The 19,829-nt window shown below is 42.0% G+C and overlaps 1 pseudogene; it reads right to left on the minus strand.

Moving 5' to 3' along the window:
- RPS12P4 (ribosomal protein S12 pseudogene 4) lies at positions 17,653–18,155 on the minus strand (annotated as a pseudogene).

Below are 19,829 nucleotides of genomic sequence, written 5' to 3' on the forward strand. Positions count from 1 at the left end.
GCTCCAGTCCATAATTGTTGCTAGAGAGCGACTGCTTCACCCAGACGCCATATTCCCTGCCTGGCTCCTCTTGCCTCTAGGTAGGGCCATGGGACAGACTTCTGGACAATGGATTGTGAACCAGGAAGAACTCCATTGCCAGACCTGATCTATAGGAATTTCCCACACATTTTCTACCTTCTCTGTTTTCCATCTACCAGGGGAAGCAAAAGATTCTGAAGCCCTAAAAAATGGCAGAACCACAAAACGGAATAGAGGCTGGATCCGTGAATCACCACATGGAAGGCCTCTCACTGAACACTTGCACTAAACTGTCACTGTGTGAGCAATAACTCCTGTCAATTAAACCACTGAGATTTTCAGGGTTTGTCCTTTTTAGCAACTATTAATGTTATAATAATAAGTTAATACAGTCAATATAGGCTGAGTTTGGCAGAAAACTAATAATCACTTCAATGCTGATGGTTTTGTGCTGGTTTATTTCAAGAGTGAATGCTGATAGTAAGAAGAGTATAGGCTGGGCACAGTGGCTCATGCCAGTAATTCCAGCACTTCAGGAGGCCAAGGCAGGAGTTGAGCTCAGGAGTTTGAGGCTACAGTGAGCTATGATCAGGCCACTTCACTCCAGCCTGGGTGACAGAGTAAAATCCAATCTCAAAAAAAGAAGAAAAAGGAGACAACGAAGAAGAGGATTACTTGATTTGTAACGTAAAATGACATTTAGATATTAGTATTCAATTGGGTTGACCTGTAATAGTAGTGATAATAATCACACACAGTTACAGTTTGCAACTATCATTGCATTTCAAAATACCAGCCATAATGAGAAGTACGCAATAAAATAAGAAAACTCTGATAAGGTAAAAAGAGTGCTGGACTGAAAGCCAAGCATCTTGAATTCTAGTTTCACCGCAACACAAACCATTTCTGACCAGGAGTCTCACCTCTCCAGTCACTACCAGCTCTAAAAGCCAGACTGGAAGTGTCTGTTTAGAGGAAATAGTGCCTCCTATGAGTGAAAAACAAACTACAGGAGAACTGGTCACAGTGCTTTGTGCAGAGAAGATGCTCAATACAGATTTACTCAATTAATAAAAGTTTTAAAAGGGACTCTGATAAAGTAATTCAACTAAAATGACAGAGGGTGAATACAGATTTAGACACCCACCCCTGTCCCCTCCCACTAAGCTAGAAGAAGTGTCTCTATGTATTCATGTGTATAGAGAAATTGGCTCCATTTCTGAACAGTGAGAGCAGGGCAGAAAAATGAATAAATCTGGGGATGACATAAAATCAAAAATATAGCCATCTGTTTAAGTCCTGCATCTAAAATTTAAAAAACAGAAGAGAAGCCACCTGCCTTGCAATATTGAAGTAAAATGCAAATCTATTTAATTGAAAACAATAATGTAATGTAAACTTTAGTCACAAGCAGAGAGCTTTCTCTATATAGTTATATTAAAGGGCTTAGACCAGTGCCTGGAGCATGATAGACACATAATTGTTTGTTGAACGAAAACATTCTGGGTGCAAAGCATAGGGCAGGCAGAGTGAGAGATGCTGAGATGGACAGAAAGTTATCCCTGCTCTCCAGAGACTTGCAGGCTGGGAAGAGAGAACCATGTCATCAACCCACTTGAACACAAGACAGAATGAAATACATGCTAAGCAGAGGTAAAAGAAACATGCTAGGAGACGAAGAAACATTTCATTCTGATTGGAAGGAATCAAAAATGAGGTAGAATTTAGGCTGAGCCTTAAAATGAACAATCTCCAGGCTGAGAGGATGGCATGACTCAGGTAATAAAAAGATTGGAAGTGGTAGGCTGGCCGGGTCCATGCAGAGAACTTTGGGAGACAGCCTTGGAAAAGAGCGTTGGAGCCACATATAAGAGTCCGGTTGTGACTTGGGAACAAAACTCTAACAGCCACAAAATTGGGCGCCTAGGAAAAGAAGTAGATCCCCTTTCTTTTCTTTCTCTCTCCAAGTTTATAAAGCATTTACCTCTCTTAAACCATATAACATGTCATTTAATTAAGTCATTTAAATATGTGTAAGATGACTGTCAGGCCCAAACTATTTTAATGCTACAGAAGTTAAAATAAGGTGAAAAAAAAATGTGTTATAGAATAAAGCATGTGTATATTTGAGTTCTGTCTTAAGTTATTTTAATTTCTGGATAACAGAGACTCCCTTAAGGGGAGTCTGCATTAGCAATCCATGTGTATCCTCTGGTATACCATTTTGCTTCAGAAAAGGAATTGAGCTCAGTATAGAAAGTATTTATATGATGGTGTCTAAAGAGAGGATCTGCTAAGAGTTCCCCAAATGTCAGCACTGTCCTGTTGGTAATCCATGGTCATTCAAAGAATTTTAAGAGGAACAGAAGAAAAGGCCTTGTTTCAGTAATTGAAAGAAGGCCAATGTGGCTGGTGCAGAGCAGCAAGATAGAGTGTGAGATGAGTCAGGGTTATGGACCCAACCATATCATGTAGGGTTCTAAAGGCCACAGAGAGAACAAAGAATAAAGAAGTTTGAATCTTGTACAAAATACAATAAGAAGCCATTGGTGAGTGTTAAGAAGGGTGATATGATGTCATTTATCCTTTATTTTGGCTGCTGTTTGGAGAAAGAATTGGAGTGGGACAGAAACGGAAGCTGAGAAAATAGTTAAAAGACCATTAAAATAGTCCACAGGAGAAAAGTTGATTTTTCAAACTGAAGGTGATAGTTGTAGAAATGGAAATAAGCTAACATACTGGGGATGTATGTTAAAGACAAAACAGATTAACTGGATGTTAAATGCAAGGAAAAGAACAGTGACTCCCAGGTTTTTATCTTAAGAAACTCGGAAGAAATGGTGCTATTTTCCAAGTAAGAGGCCAGAGACCAGGAGAGCAGTTTAGGGAGAGGGAAAAGCAGAGGATAAAGAGTTCTGTGTAGGGCCCTTTACATTTAAGATGCCTGTTTGACATCCAAGTCAGGTAGGCAGTCTGACATCAAGTAGACAGTTTGATTTATGAGCCTGCAGGCTCAAGGGAAGGTCAATGGAGATTTACACTTGTGAGTCATCTGCATATAGATGGTATTGAAATTATGGGACTAAATGAAATCTACCAGGGAGATGGCATACATAAGAGCCAGGAAGGTGCCTAGGAGATCAAGCAAGGAAGATAGACCCAGTAAAGAGACTGAAAGGGAGCATCAAGGAGATTGGAAGTGGGGAATGAAGCATGACAAGCTGGTGTCGTAGAAGCCAAGAAAATAAAGTATCTGCTTTGAAATTAGCATAGATAATTTACAAGGTTTTCTGAGTTGCTTAGAGCCTTGAGCCAATAATTTCTACCTCACTATTCCTCATAGAAAGAAAAATATCAGGGTTGTTGAGACAATCTGCCTCCCAAATGCATAGCTGTAGTCTCTTGTGGAGTTAATGAGCATGTTAATAGCCCTGCTTCCTCCTATCACTGGAATAGTTCATGTCTTTGGGGCACTGACTAGAGAATTTTCTTCATAGTCAAAGAACAACACGTTCAAGACAGAAGTTCAAATCAGCTATGCCTTTAAGAGAATAAATTTATCTTTACAGATATATTACACATATTAGAATATTAAGCTATGGCTTACCACCAGACAGGTCACAGATGATGAATGTGAGATGGTTTGCTTGCTATTAAATGGGTTGCCTTTGAGAATGTATTCTAAGTGAAATATTGTTAATGGCTATCACCTTGTCTATGGAAATAGTTTGACCTGCTGCAGATGTTACCTAATTCAATACCCCATGATCACTGACTTGTCTTTTGGTAAGGCTGTCAAAAATAAGAACATTTAACAATCAAATAATATGTGAAGAAAATTCCTTAGTCATCCGAATAACCTCATTTCTTACATTAACTGTGGCTTATAATAAGACAGTTATTTTAGTAATATAAAGATTCTAGATTAGCCACGGTGAGATATATCCAATTCTGTACCAACTTTAACAGACCCCAATCACAATACTTGAGAGTTTTTCAAATTATAGCTTGAAATGTCAGAGTTGGACACCTTCAGAGATCGTTTGCTTGTTTTCATTGATATGGTTATATTTGAAAGGATACATATACTTTTTAGTTGCTTGAGTAACATGGAAGAAATAAAATTTTCTCATCACACACACAAATCTTAAGAGGTCCATCAAAGTACATAAGTTGTACCTAAAAGCATGTACATTGGTGTATCCAGAATATTTCCACCCTCAAGTGGAGAAAAATTTCCCCATCCACGAAAATATATGTGAATAAGCTTCCTCACAAATTTACATACAATTTCAGGAGGGTCTCAGATCCTTTGAAAACTACGTGCACCCTCACAGCATCAGTTTCCAAGCTAAGCACTCTAGGTTTAGACTATTTTCTCCTATGATAAAATATGATGCACCATGTGTGCCTTCTCCTTATTGGCCATCAGAAATCAGAAATTTCAGTTTCCAAAAGTATGGATTTAAGGAATGCTGGTGGTGGTGGTGGTGTTTCTAGGAAAATGAGCATGCTTCCTTGAGAATTAAAGTAAATTTCCCGCAAGGTATGGAGTTGGAAATTCTGGGCTCTGTCTCGGGTCCTGAAACCTTGGTCCAAGGTCACGAGGAGCTGTCCAAGGTCCCAATGTCTTAGACCAGTGCTTCTCCAAGTGTGGTTTGCAGATAACCTGCATTAAAATCAACTGAGGGCGTCCATTACACTGCAGATTCCTGAGCCATCCAAGAGCCATTGAATCAGAGACTTTGAAGGTAGGTCCCACAAATCTGCATTTTAAGGAGTGCCTCATGAGATTCTTCTGTCTGACACTAAGATAATGTCTACCAAATGTTGGTACCACTTTGTTAATGGCTGGAAGCCATTTAATCCCATTTAAATTCACTGATCATTATAAATGCACCTGCTACCTTTAATATCATCTATATTAACAATCATAATGAGTTGCTATGTTGCTGTAGAAGACACTCACCAACTGTCTTCCAGATGGTTTCTGTCACAATTTAGCATTAAACAAACACATAAATCCAAGCCCCATCAAATCTCAAGAAAAGCAAACTCTTTTGGAAATCAGCTTCCTTGATCTTTTAGCAAATCTTTCCTCCTCATCCACTTTAATAATGAAAATAATTACAATTACATGTAACCAATATTTACTGATTATTCACTCCATGCCTTCCATCAAACCCATCATAACAATAGTAGTAAATGCAATAAAAAACAATTAACAAGTACTTACTATATGCCCAGAAATGTTCAAAGTTCTTTATGTGATTGCATCATTTAATCTTTATAATACTGTACCTATGATACCAAGAAAGACAGGAAAATGTGTATTCTATATTACTTAAGCTATTGGTGCCACTTATAGGCTTTGTCATATAAATATTATGCTAAAGTTAATTCCCTAGTGTTCTTTTTTAAAGTATGAAAATGGGAAAGAAGTGAGTGCCCATTATTGATCGCCTGCTGTATTTCTGGCACTTTAACATGTTTTCTTCATTAAAACATCACCAACTATTTATGAATACATTTTATTATCCCCATTTTAACAGTTTATTGAAAGACTGATGTCATAAACTGCACATATTTAAAATGTGCAATTTAATAAGTTTAGATATATGTATATACCTGGGAAGCCATATTGCAATCAAGGTAATGAACATATCTATCAGCTCCCAAAGTTTTCCTCTCTCTCTTTGTAATCCTTCCTCCTGCCCCTCCACTTGCTCGTCCCCAGGCAACCACTGACCTGCTTTCTGACACTACAGATAAGTTTGCATTTTCTAGAACTTTATATAAACATAATCTCGGTATGTAATCTTTTTGTCTTGCATCTTATATCCAACATGATTATTTTAAGATTCATCTACGTTATTCTATTTATCAAAAGTTCACTCCTTTTTACTACTGTTATTCCAATTGTCCCCATTCTATAGATAAGCAAACTGTGAAAATAAGCAACTAGTTCTAAGATCACATAGTAAAGGACCAGATTCAAATTTAAATCTGCCCAACACAAAAGCCCCATATTTTCCCACTAAAAATTATGCCTGTCTTCATTTTTAACTGAGAAATAACTCTACATATATCTTCAGAATGGAAGAATGTGGCCTCCAAAGTAACCAGGCTATAGTAACCGCACCAAAATTATTGCTGGATGATTAATTGGAGAGGGTGTCAGCTGTCCTACCCACTTACCTCCACAGTATGTGCTCAGCAGTACCAGCCTTAAACTTTGGGCTTCAATTACAAGGTCATTCATCCAAAGAAGAACCCTGGAATCCTGGGGCTGCCAAGATACATGAGACCACTGTACACAGGGCCTAAGCTCTAGCTAGAGTCCTCTCCTATAGGCCAGAAGAGAAGGAAATGGGTGGGGCAGATGATGGGAGGTGGTCAAACGTATGGTACAGCAGGGAGGCATCCAAAGAACCATGAAGGTCCTCACTGAACTGGGTCACTTGTGTGACTTGAAGGATAGACTTTTAATTAAGGACAGAAGAGAAGATAAGAACTACAAAATGGAAAAGAAAGGAAAGGTAGACTAACCCTTGCCAAACTCCCAAACTGTTAATTTGGTGATCTTAGGCACTCATCACTCTTGAAATATAAAAACAGATCAGATTTCTCCATGATTCTCGCAACATACGTTTGAGGAGGAATTATTTGTGATACTATGAATAACAACAAATAACTAGCAGTTATAGAGTACTTATTACGCACTACACACAAGAATCATATTCTATTTTCATTTTACTACAAAGAAATCAGTTCTCAGAAAATATAAGTGACTTGTCCAAGATCACACAGCCAGAGAGTGAATTCGTTTTAGCCAGAATTCAAGTCTCCAAGTCTGTCCAGTAATCTTCCCATGACTCAGAAACACTCCAGACTTCCCTGCTCCCAACCAATCACCCAACCACCGCTACACACTTCACCATCATTGGTCCCAACCCAGGCTCACCCTAGAGTATATGCTGACTTATGTCCTTTGATTTCAAACCCCTGAAACCCTTGTCTTCATCAGTACATGTCCTTCTATGTACACTGCCCTCAGAATACTGTTGAACACTACAGCCAACTTAAAAGATACTCTAATAAACCAATTCTACTCCAATAAGTTAATCATTATAATGTTATGCTTTCGTCAGGTGCCAACGGGGCTTAAGAAAACAGTGCCTAAAAGAATAATGTAAACTGTGGGCAAGAGTGTGATATAGAGATTTTCCAAGTCCTATGTTCATACGTGTGAGTGTGATAGGTTTACAGACTAACTCCAGACAAAGCAAGCCACTATTCCTCTTTCAGAAGGGCCAACTCAGGCTGAAGTAGCCTATTGCCTGGGGGAGGAAGAAGGGAAATAATAATCATTATTCCCTTCCTCATAAATGATATGAATAATAGGGGCCAACATTTACTGATTGCTTTGTATTGGGTATTTTATCAGTACCACAATTAAACCACAATTCCATGAAGTAGGTGTTATTGTTAGTCTCATTTCCAGATGAGGAAACTGCGACAGGGAGGCTATGTAATCTCACCATGCTAGTGCTATGCAGGCTTGGGACTCAACAGGTATTCTTTCAAACGGCAAAATTCTCATTCTTTTTGTTTTTTTCTTTTTTTTTTTTTTTGAGACAAGGTCTCACTCTGTCACCCAGGCTATAGTGCTGTGGTGCAATCTCATCTCATTGCAGCCTCGACCTCCCAGGCTCAAGTGATCCTCCCACCTCAGCCACCCAAGTAGCTGGGACTACAGGCACACATCACACGTCTAGATAATTTTATTTTTTGTAGAGAGAGGGTCACACTATGTTTCCCAGGCTGCTCTCAAACTCTTGGACTCAAGCAATCCTCCTGCCTCAGCCTCACAAAATGCTGAGATTATAGGTGTGAGTCACGGCACTGACCCAGAATGCTCACTCTTAACCAGTGCACTGATCCCCACCAGTTATTGCTTATCGTGTACCTATTATGCGCATGGCACTGTGCGAACCTTAAACATATTAATTTCATTGAAACCTCATGGCAAGCCTTGGAGATAGGTATTATCATTATCCCCATCTGACAGATGAGGCTCAGGAAAGAAAGGAAACTGAGTTAATGTGGAGCTGGAACCGACGACACGCATTCTGACTAAGAGCTCTCTTATTCAGCACGACTGATTCCTATTCAAGTTTAGGTATTTCTCTTTCTACTTCATTTAGGTTAAAAGGCTTTCCTCTCCAGGAGCCTGGCAAGCCAAGCCCGCCCTCTGCGGGGCAACAGCACGAGGCATTACCCCTACAGACCACTTGGCGGCGCCGTCCGTCCTGAGTTGGAGAGAACGGTGGGCAAGTAGGGCTCCTTCCGCACGCTGCACGGTTCTTCTCCGGGCCCGCCCCCTTCCAGCAACAGCCAATCAGAAACTCGCTGACAGCGCTAGGCTCTCCACGGTAATGGCCGTGGATGATAATTGGCTAAGTCTCTTAAGGGACGTCTGGTTTCCGGGGACGCAGTGATAAGCGCAGAACGGGAGGTCTCTGAAGCAAGATGGGGCTCCAGACATAATCTTTACCTGAATAAGTCCCAACGCTGGGAGTGTCAGCCCGATCCTCCTACGGTGGAAAAGGCGGCAGCCAATTGCTACAGTCCCTTTAGGCTTTTCTCTCCCGCCAATCCTCACTCTGCCCTACGGGAGGGTTCTTGGCCGCTTCAGCTCGGTTTGCTGCTTACCAACCCCGCGGCCCAAGGGGAGCACGGCTCCCTGGCCCGATGCCCCCGGGGTATGCAGAAGGGCCCAGCCGGGACAGCAGCCACTGCATTTCTTTGGCTTGCGCTGCAGTCCGGATGGAGCTCGGTTCTGACCCAGAACATGAGATCGGGTTCTCATTAATTCAGCCCAGGGCCTTGCACACGCGCCCCGCCCCTGCTTGAAGTGGCTCACCCCGGACTTTCAGGATCTCACACGAAGTGCTTCGCTTTCCCCTGCAGGGATGGTACTCTCTGAGCGCCCTTGGAACTTTGTAAATAGCTGCATTGCAGCACTTCTCCATTGTTTTATTTCACGCATATTGGACTCAGGGTAGAGACCATATCTTAAACGTCTTTGCTTTGAGCAAGATATTTAAACTCTCTGTGCAGCATTTTTCTCAACTGTAAAGTGGGGATAGTAGTACCTCTTGCATAAAGTTGTGCGCACTAATACATGTAAAGCGCTTAGAAGACGGTCTTGCACACAGCAGATGATCAGAAAATGTTAGCCACTTGTTATTCCTACAATGCCTAGCACAAACACATCATAAATACTCTACAGTGCTTAGAATCAGTTTCATATATTTGTTCTTGGAGGTTTAAATCTCAGCTTTGTCAGAACTGCTCCAAGAAGGAAACGGTAAATATATATACACATGGCTGTAAATGTGTCCGAGTGCTTCAACATGCAGTGGCAGTTGAGAACAGCAGGGAGCCTGGGTTCAAGTTCTGACTGCAGCTGAACAGCCGAATGACCAATAGAAAATTAACTAAAACTTAACTCCTCAGCTGGGGAATGGAGATGATCATAATAATATCTACTTCATCGGGTTGTGGTGCTTGCATTCTTATCCCACTTTCACTTTGGGAGCTAGTACAAGAATGTAATGACACAGTATAGTATTTCTACCTTATATGTGTCTCCCACTTTAACTTTTGCAAAGCACATTCATATATTATCTCATTTAATACTCACAGCAACCCTGTGAAGCTCAGAGCACTTCCTGGTTGGAATCCTACAACATGTCCATGGTGAGCTGCAGCTCGGTTTCTTTGAGTGCAATTTCAATGTCAGTGCCATTGCTCTGCATCAGGACTGAACCAGTGACCACCTGGGTCTCAGATAAGCAGAAGGATTTGCATCCTAGATTTTCAAGCCAGTTGTTCTATTTTTTTTATTTCTGATTACAGCAGAAAGACGTAGTTACATTATCTTTTAAAATGTGAACAAAACAAAGTGCAAGGTCTGGTCGACCTTCACACACACTCCCCAGAGGCAGCCACTGTCATCCATTGAGTGTGGCATCTTCCTAACCTCCTGGGTATGGTTTCATGCATGTACCTGTGGCGGGGAGAAAGCTAGGTTTTTTTGTTGTTGTTCTTTTGCATAAACATGATTGTATTTTAAAATTTATTCTACAACTTGTTTTCTTCAATTAACAGTACATCTCAAAGATCTTTTTATGTCTGTATCCTTATTTCTTTTTAACTATTGCAGTCTTTTATACCTGAACTCATTTAACCATTCTCTTGTTGTTAATTCTAATTTTTAAAGCCAAGTTTTTCTTAATCCCCCTCAAGTCCCAATTTTGTTGTAGCTGGTTAGATTCTGAACAGCCTCTGGGCCTAAAGATTCAAGTCACCAGGAAATGAAATCCTTATGGTCAAGAGTTCCACCTAGCTCCATATTCTTCCCATACTACAAGCCCAAAGCCCTGGCAAGCTGTGAAACTGGAGTCCCTCCTCCCAAGAGGAAAGAGTGGGAAAGAGGATGCCCACATAGGGCCAAAATGGGCTGATGACGACTTTACTCCTCAGAACATTGCTCAGAGCTGAGGACATCTCTGTAACTTTAAAAGCCTCCTAATTCCCTCCAAGAATCTGCATGGCTGAGATCCCTTCTGAAGAGGTGAAGCTGGTGAAACTTTCTCTTCCTTGAGGCCCTGGTGACCCTCATGACTCAGTCCTTCCCCAGGCCCACCCCTCACTTCCAACACCCACAAGTATCTCCCAGGGTTGAAACCTCTACTTCAGAACGCAGACTTGGAATTGAATTGCAGGGAAATGGTGGGCACATCCTGTGGGTACTTGTGAAACACATGGACCTCAGATCCTCAGATAACCCTAAAAGAAATGATGTGGGCTGGCCACGGACTGGTCTAGGGACAGTGTCACTTCAGGCAAAATGAGAGGTAGAGAATCAGGGTAGAAATCAGCAGATTACAGGCACAATTCCACAAGGGAATGTGCTGACTTCGTGACCCTTAACTCCATGCCCTTTCTACCCAGCTCCAAAAGGAATTCACTTGCCTTTTCTCCAGCTACAACTAAAGAGTCTGTGGAAGGAGAAATAGGTAAAAGTCTCATCCCATGAATTTCAGACACATCTCTGGCGCACCCAGCATTTTGTACATTAGCCAAAAAGCACATATTCCTAGTTGAATACAATCACACACATATAACACAAATGGAGTCATGTTCACAATCAGGACACCAAACTGAATCTATGTTGAAGATGTTCTGTATTCTAACACCCAACAGAATAATGCACTGGAGCCATACCGGACAAACAACTTACAAAAATGGATCTCAGACTGGAAAATACATTTGAAAAAAATGCAATCTCACTAGTCATAAAAAAACATACAAAATTTTAAACCGGGATTTTATTTTTCACCTATAAAATTGTCATGTTACAAATTATAATATGCATTTCTTTTTTTTTTAAGAGGAAGTTTCGCTCTTGTTGCCCAGGCTGGAGTATGAATATGGCTTATGACATACTTAAGAATGACAAAAATTGCTCTGTCCTCTGTTGCTGGTGGTGGAATAAATTAGTTAAAGCCTTTTGGAAAAATAATTTGGCAATATGTATCCAAATCTCCTTAACCCAGCAATTTAATTTCTGAAAATCTAGTTAAATGAATAATTTCAAAGATTTTTGCATCAAGAAAACCTGGAAGCCAATATCCAACTTCAATATTCAAAAATAGGAAAATGGTTAAATGAATATCGACACTGTAAAGATGTGTAATAACATGGAAAATATGTATGATGGGGCATTGAATAAAGAAAATAAGATTCAAAAGAAACAGTTTGATATTATTACAACTACGTTGAAACCCGTATTGTATACACACACAAACCCACACACAAATGATTTCGTTTACTCCTTTCAACAATCAGTGAGGAAACTGAGACACAGGAGGGTTCAGGAACTGGCAGCTGGCCACATAGCGAGTGGTAGAGCCAAGTTTTATGCCCATGTTCTTCCCAAAATACCACAAAAGCAACCACTAACTGTGAACAATGCTTGTTGAACTTGCAATCTGAAAGCTCCTATTTACATGTTTTAAGCCCATGAAGAGATTTTATAACTCAAGTAATGCTACTCCATGAGATCTCAAAGAGCACTTTTATCTCATCCAACTAGTCCTGCTCCAGGAAGAAGCCTCCAGAAGTCAAGTCAGGCTTCAGAAGCAAACAGAAGAATCTGGTGTGTTGCTGACGGAACTCCCAGGGAATCCACCCATCTTTGGGCAGAAGGCCCTTGCAAAATTACTTAGTAGGCCAACTTCAGTGATTTACACACAACCTGTGATGGTTAATACAGGTTCAATCAAATCAACTTGATTTGATTGAAGGATGCAAAGTATTGATCCTGGGTGTGTCTGTGAGGGTGATGCCAAAGAAGATGAACATTTGAGTCAGTGGACTGGGGGAAGACAGACCCAACCTTAATCTCGTGGGCACAATCTAATCAGCTGCCAATGAATATAAAGCAGGCAGAAAAATGAAGAGGTGAGGCTGGCCTAACCTCCCAGCCTTCATCCTTCTCCCACGCTGGATGCTTCCTGCCCTCAAACATTGGACTCCCAGCTCTTCAGTTTTGAGACTCGGACTCCCAAGTCTCTCCTTGCTCCTCAAGCTTGCAGACAGCCTATTGTGGGACCTTGTGATCATATAAGTTAATACTTAATAAATGCACTCACACTCTAGATAGATAAGATAGATAGATAGATGATTGATAGATAGATAGATAGATAGATAGATAGATAGATAGATAGATAGAGATTAGATATAGATATCTCCATCCATCCATCCGTCCTATTAGTTCTGTCCCTCTAAGGAACCCTGACTAATACACAGTGCATTTCAGCTCTCCCTGGCCTAACTTTATTTGTTACAATCCATTTCAAGAACTTTTTAACACTAGGGGCTTAAAAGGGGGAGAGAGGATTTGCCAAATGCAAATCAAAAAGGAAAAAGAAATCTCACAAGTCATTGAGATACACAAACACCCCACACACCTGTTCTTGCCCTGATCCTCCATGTCCCTACTTCTTCCCCAAGACAGAAGGCTCCATGCCCTGCACTCTTCCCCTTGGAATGGATGGAGATGCTCCTGGAACACAGCTCAGCTATGGGGAGCCCCATCTCGTCTTTTCTGGAAGAAGCTGAAAAACAGGACTTTGTCTGATGATATCAGCTCAGTGCTATTCCTTGAGGCTGTCAGCAGGTCTTAGCCTTTATAAAGTGCTCTCTCTCTCTCTGTCTCTCTGTCTCTCTGTCACCTTGATGATCCTGTACATGGACAGAAACAGTCTTACATAGGCACAGGTTATTATCTGCTCACTTCACTCCCAGTGGTCTTTCTTCCTTGGTAATAACAGAACCCTGACTTTTAGAGAGGAACATTGCCTTTTGGAATAAGACTACACTTCCCAGCTTCTTCCCAGCTAGTTTACTGGCCAATTAGATGTAAGAAAAAACTGGGAGGCACAGTAAAGGGAGCCCCAGCCCCCCTTTCCCTTTGCCCCTTCCCACCTCCAATTTTCTGGGAATGAGATGGCCTTCACCAAAGATGGCAGTCAGAAACTAGGATGGCAGGGCAGAAATGTAAAAGGACACCGAGTCTTGACAAACAGAGACCTTGAACTGCCTACATGCGGACTTCTTTGACGTGAGAAAATCAAACCCTTATGTGTATAAGTCACTGTCATTTTAGGCTGTTATATAGAGTCTGGTCTAATTCCTAAATGACTAGCCTCTCTTTCCCAAGGCTTAAAAGTATCTTAACTTACATAGAAAGACACATTTATAAATTAGAACCTTCTTATAACTGGGCCAGGTTCACCAGCACACAATTAACATTGCACTCATGAAACATTTTGGACCAAAACATATACTTTATCTAAACCACACATTGGCATAGCCTTGACATTCTATTTTCATGCTGAAAGAAAACATTCTGCCAAAGAGATCTTTTTTTTTTTTTTTTTCCTATCACCCAGGCTGGAGTGCAGTGAGGTGATCTCGGCTCACTGTAACCTCCGCCTCCCGGGCTCAAGCGATTCTACCACCTCAGCCTCCCAAGTAGTTGGGACAACAGGCACATGCCACCACACCCAGCTAATTTTTGTATTTTTAGTAGAGACAAGACTTCACCACGTTGGCCAGGCTGGTCTCGAACTCCTGAGCTCAAGCAATCTGCCCGCCTCAGCCTCCCAAACTGCTGGGATTACAGGCATGAGTCACCGCACCCAGCCCCAGAGAAGATCCTTAACACACAGGCAAACACCTGTACATTTTTATTGGTGGTCATTGTTCAATCCAAGCTCCAAACTGAACTCTAAGTAACAGCTTCTTTTGAACCTAATCCAGATATGTTAGAGGTCTTTGAAAAGTGGTCAAATGTTCACAGCTGAATTCTGGTTGAAAGCCTTCTACACTTCCAATCTGTTTCTCCTTAGGAGAAACTCCAGCTGGCCCCTCTCTTAGCAAGTTCTCATTCTCCTTTAAGACCTTTAGAGAAATGTCCTCCAGTGTGGTCAGAAGTAGCTGGACCCTAGTGGTGGCCTCTGCATAGCCACCCTGAGAGTCAACCTGCCAGGACCTCTCTCTGTTCCCCTGCCACAGGGCTGCCTTCCAGTCCCTCAGGGAGTCCTTCTCCTCCTCACCGGGCCAGTTCCATGTCCCTTATGGTGTGGGGAATTGGAGAGGGGGTGGACATAAATAACTTACTTTTATAATAACTAAATATGTTAAAATATGTTATAGGAAAAGAAAAATGTTAAGGATTACCCTCTTTTGGAAATGTTTGTTAGTAGCTAACATTTATTAAATACTATGTTCTGGGCACGGTACTAAATGCCTATTTAAATACTGTCACCATGTTTGAGATCTAAAACAGGCTTAGAGAGGCGAAGTAGCTCTACCTGATGTGACACATCTACTCAATGACAGCAAGGATTTAATTCCAGGTCTACCCAATTCCAAAGCCCGATCCTGTTTTGTTTTGTTGTTTTGTTTTGTTTTGTTTGAGACAGGGTCTCACTCTGTCACCTAGGCTGGAGTGCAGTGTCACGATCATGGCTCACTGCAGCATCAAAGTCCTGAGGAATTCTCTGACCTCAGCCTCCCAAGTAGCTGGGACTACAGGCATGAGCCACCACACCCAGCTAATTTTTGTATTTGTTGTAGAGATGGTGTTTCACCATGTTGCCCAGGCTGGTCTTGAACTCCTGAGCTCAAGCAATCTGCCTGCCTTGGCCTCCCAAAGTGCTGAGATTACAGGCATGAGCCACTGTACCCGGCTAAGCCACTGCACCCGGCACCTGATCGTTTAATGCTTAGGCAGCACTGCAGTTTGAAAATGCTGCCAATGTTCTAATGCCACTAGAACACACATTCTCAGCAAGGGCGATATTGCCCTCAAGAGAGCAAAAGCTAGTTCTTGGTGGCCAATTGAAAAAAAAAAAAAAGTATTTACTCCTTCTAGGTATAAAGGACAGATATACATATAGTGCCCAATGGATTTGCAGTTTACTCGTAGTATCAAATTTCCATGAGAGGAGGGGGCAATTAGGGAAAAAAATCTAAAAAGGCTCCTTACAGGGACAATCATCAATAATGAAAACAAGGTTGAGCAACAGTGTGTTAGGACATTTTGGCAAAGAGCATGTTTACTGAAAGCAAGCAGTGTCTTACACAACTCCCAGGGTTTTCTCAGGGCACAGAAGACAGCGTCAACACCTGAGCTTTGTTCACTGAAAGCTTTTAGTCATTATGCCATGTGATGCTCCCAAGAACCCCCTCATGAAATCGCTAAGGAAGATATTTACTCTCCACTTTTAACAGATGAGGAAATTGAACTTTAGAGACGGTAACCACTACCTAGATTTAGTACCAAATAAAACTACCCTTTAAGAATAAAAAGTGATATAAAGAAATTTGTAAACAAAGCAAAATAGTTTGTTATAAACAGATCTTCAGTAAGAGAACTCAAAAGTCTGAGATGTACGAAAGAATGAAAGAAAGAAAGCAAAGTGGTTAACATGTGAACAAATCTATATGAATGTTGGTATATAAAACAATAGTTGTAATGTCTACTGTAGGGGCTTCCAGACATAAGACACAACTAAAACACTGGGCAATAATGGCATATAAGTCAGTGGGGAGTGGTTAGAGTTTAAGCATACTTAGGTCGTTGAATTGGTCAGGAGAAGGGTAAAGATATTAACTTGAGAAATTAAGCTAAATATACATGTTAAATTTCCAGGTTAAAAAAAATAGAAGACATCGAGAATTAACTGCCACATCAGAAGAATGAAAAGTGGAAGGAGGCTGGGTGCGGTGGCTCATACCTGCAATCCCAGCACTTTGGGAGGCTGAGGTGGGTGGATCACCTGAGGTCAGGGGTTCAAAACCAGCCTGGCCAACATGGTGAAACCCCATGTCTACTAAAAATATAAAAATTAGCTGGGAATGGTGGCTCACGCCTATAATCCCAGCTACTCAGGAGGCTGAGGCAGGAGAATCGCTTGAAACGGGGAGGCAAAAGTTGCAGTGAGCTGAGATAGCACCACTGCACTCCAGCCTGGGTGACAGAGTGAGACTGTCTCAAAAATAAAATAAAGTATAAATATAAATGGAAGGAGCAAATCCTATACTTCTCATGACAAATGTTACGAATCATTGAAAAACTATCAAATTGAGTCTTTAAATTCACTTAAAATCATCCTTCAATATAGTTGAATGTTGCTTAAAATCAATTGCATGGGTGTAAAATTTTTTATACTAAAAATAAGAAAATATTTTTCTTTATGGCTTAAAAATTGCCTATAGCTTACATAGTGTTTCCTCAGGGGTGGTCCATAACTCCAGCCTCCTGAGATGCTACACTCCAAGGGAAAGCATCCGTGATCCAGCCATCTGAGGGATGCTGCACAACACAGCCTCACCTGTAGACTCACAAAGCTGTATGGCCCTAAGACTTATACTTAGTAAAGAAACCTGCCTGCCTTGATTAACCCTAGTGTTTTCCAACCATTTTTTCCCCAATGAGGGTACTTCTCATTGTTTTCCTTCATTCATTGGTTACCCACCATCTTCTTCCTCTCCAGTCTAGCTTTGGAAGGTTGAAAGTAGTTGAGACTGAAGAGATATTTCTGAGATAGTCTCCTGGCTCCCTGGGATAAAGTGCATGGATTAAAGTACACCAGAATAGTCACTTTCTTTCCCTATGTGGGCCTCAGTTTCCCCAGTGGTCCAAGGAAGGAGTAGATGGCATGGCTTCTGAACCCCTTCTAATCTCTAATTATACATCTGTAAAATGAAGGGATGGAAGATGATGCCTGACTTTTCTTCCAGCTCCTACATTCTTTGATCTCAAGAATCATCTCACTTCACTCTCTCTCAGAGAAGGCAACTATAGCTCAGAGAGATGAAGTGACTTGCCCAAGGCTACGCAGCAGGGCCTAGACCTGCCGGGCCCCTGAGTCCTACCTAGCTCAGCATTCATGTGTTTTTACATGTGTGCTGTGTGTGTATATGTGAGCACATATATGTGAATACATGACAAGGTGGCATATTCTAAAGATTCTTTGTGTGTGTGTGTGTGAGTCAAAGATTTATTTTGTCATTTCTTGCATTTGAAGTACTCTTCAATGACATCCTTGGCCTGGGACTCCGTGCCATAGTCCTTAACTACTACACAACTGCGACCAACCACTTTACGGGGTTTCCCCTCTCTGTCAGTTTTACAGAGACCTACCCATTCCCCTAGTTTCTTGTTGTCATCAACCTTAATTAGGTCGATTTGGTGTTCAGCACAAAGGGCCTCCACCAACTTGACATCCATAGGCTCATCACAGTTGGATGCCAGCACACAAAGATGGGCTTGGCGCTTGTCTAAGGCTTTGGCAGCTTTGCAAATTCCACATGCTAGGCCATTGTGGATGAGGGCGGTCTTCAGCACCTCTTGTAAAGCAGTATTAACGTCCATTACACCTCCAACAGCAATGCGTTCCTCGGCCATGGCAGTGGGTTATGGGTGAAGCCCAATCTTGAACACACCAAAGCCTTTGCGTCCGCACGACCTGGCGGTGGCAGGGAAAGAGCATATTCTAAAGATTCTTGTTAAGCTCAGACATTTCCTAAGGCATCCATGCAGGTCAGGGGTGCTGTGTATCCAAGTCCTGGATGTGAAGCAGGAGGAAGCAGATGTAAAGAGGTAGGAGCTACAGGAATGCTCAAAGGATCACATCTCCCTCCTCCTCCCCAGTCTCTGCATCACAGGGGCTCATGCTCCTTGCTTAGCCTGATGAGGCTACATCCAGCCAGCCCAGCCCGGTGAAGCTGCTTCCTGCTCCCAGCTCAGGAGCTCCAGGCAGGACTGAGCACAGCCAGCCATCAAATTTTGCCTGATCTAGCCCAGTGCAGTTATCAGCATTTTGTTTCTACCTCCATGTTTTGACCCTGGGTTCATCAGCTTGACCTTTAGCCCTAAAAGACACTGTCAAATTTGCTGAGTTTGGGGGCATTTCCACAGCTGCTTCTGTCTTTACCCCCTGCAGCTCCTCCTCTGCCATTCCACTCAGCCCTTCTCTCTCCCAAAATCCACAGGTGCCTAGCCCCACAGTGGCTGCTCCGGCAAGTCTCCCTGCTTTGATCAGATTCCCATGCTGTCTGACCACCATTTTTTTAAATTTTTGCACCCTACTTCTAGTCATCCACTCAAAGGAGGCCAAAACTACAATTCCTCTTTCCTCTTTTCCATCCACGCTGATATCACATCTCTAAGGCTCACTTAGACTTTTATTATCTTCTCCACTGAGGTAGAGATTATAAATCAATACATGTCATAACCTCAGTGTACGGGATGGCTGTGTGTGGGTGTAAGAGACAGAGAGAAAACACCAATGTTGGTATAGTAGAAATTGCAACTGATGTGTTACAATATGAAGAGGGAATATTGCATATCTTCCAATTCCTATTTTCAAAGTCGACTCATCTTTCCAGAACTGTCACTCCCAGCCATGGGAATAAAGTTCAGGAGCTCAGATTGCATTAGCTTCCTCCTTCTCACTCCAATGGGTAGTTTGTACCAGCTCCACCTCCCATCCCCAGGAGGAGCTCCTTCCAGGTTCCTCGACACCTGCCGCATCATACGGCTTACCCCATGGTGAGCAGAAGCTCCAGCTCAGCCCCAGGGACAACTGGCCTAGAGTGAATCATTTCTCAGGATCTCACTGGAGGTGGGAGGAGGTGGGTGGAGGAAGGTTTTGGTGGGTGAGCAAGGGGCAGAGGGACATGGTAGCACTGCTCCAGTTGTTGTTGCTTTGGGATGGAGGCGTTGAAAGATAAATTCATGAAAGAGAGACTGGAAGGCTTTCCTCTCCTGAGATTCAACCCTGGCCACACCACAGAATCCCTGTGACGCTTTCAAATAACGTGAATGTGCGGAGCACATCCCAGACCAAGGAAACTGAAACTCCAGGTGCGTAGCCAAAGAACTTGTGTCTGAAAAAAGCTCCCCAGGTCATTCAGATTCACAGCAACATAACCTGACCTCCTGATACAACAAGAAGCATACAACATCACCAATAAAGCATTCTTGATAAAAATGTCTAACCTGAATCCAACCATGAGAATGCAATCTGACAAATCCAGCTGTGGGACATTCTATAACACAACAGGCCTGAATTATTTTAAAAAGTCAGTATCATTTAAAAAGAAAGAAAGAAAGAAAGAAAGAAAGAAAGAAAGAAAGAAAGAAAGAAAGAGAGAGAGAG

This window comes from Homo sapiens, chromosome 2 (genome assembly GCF_000001405.40).
Source record: "Homo sapiens chromosome 2, GRCh38.p14 Primary Assembly".
Lineage (NCBI taxonomy): Eukaryota > Metazoa > Chordata > Mammalia > Primates > Hominidae > Homo > Homo sapiens.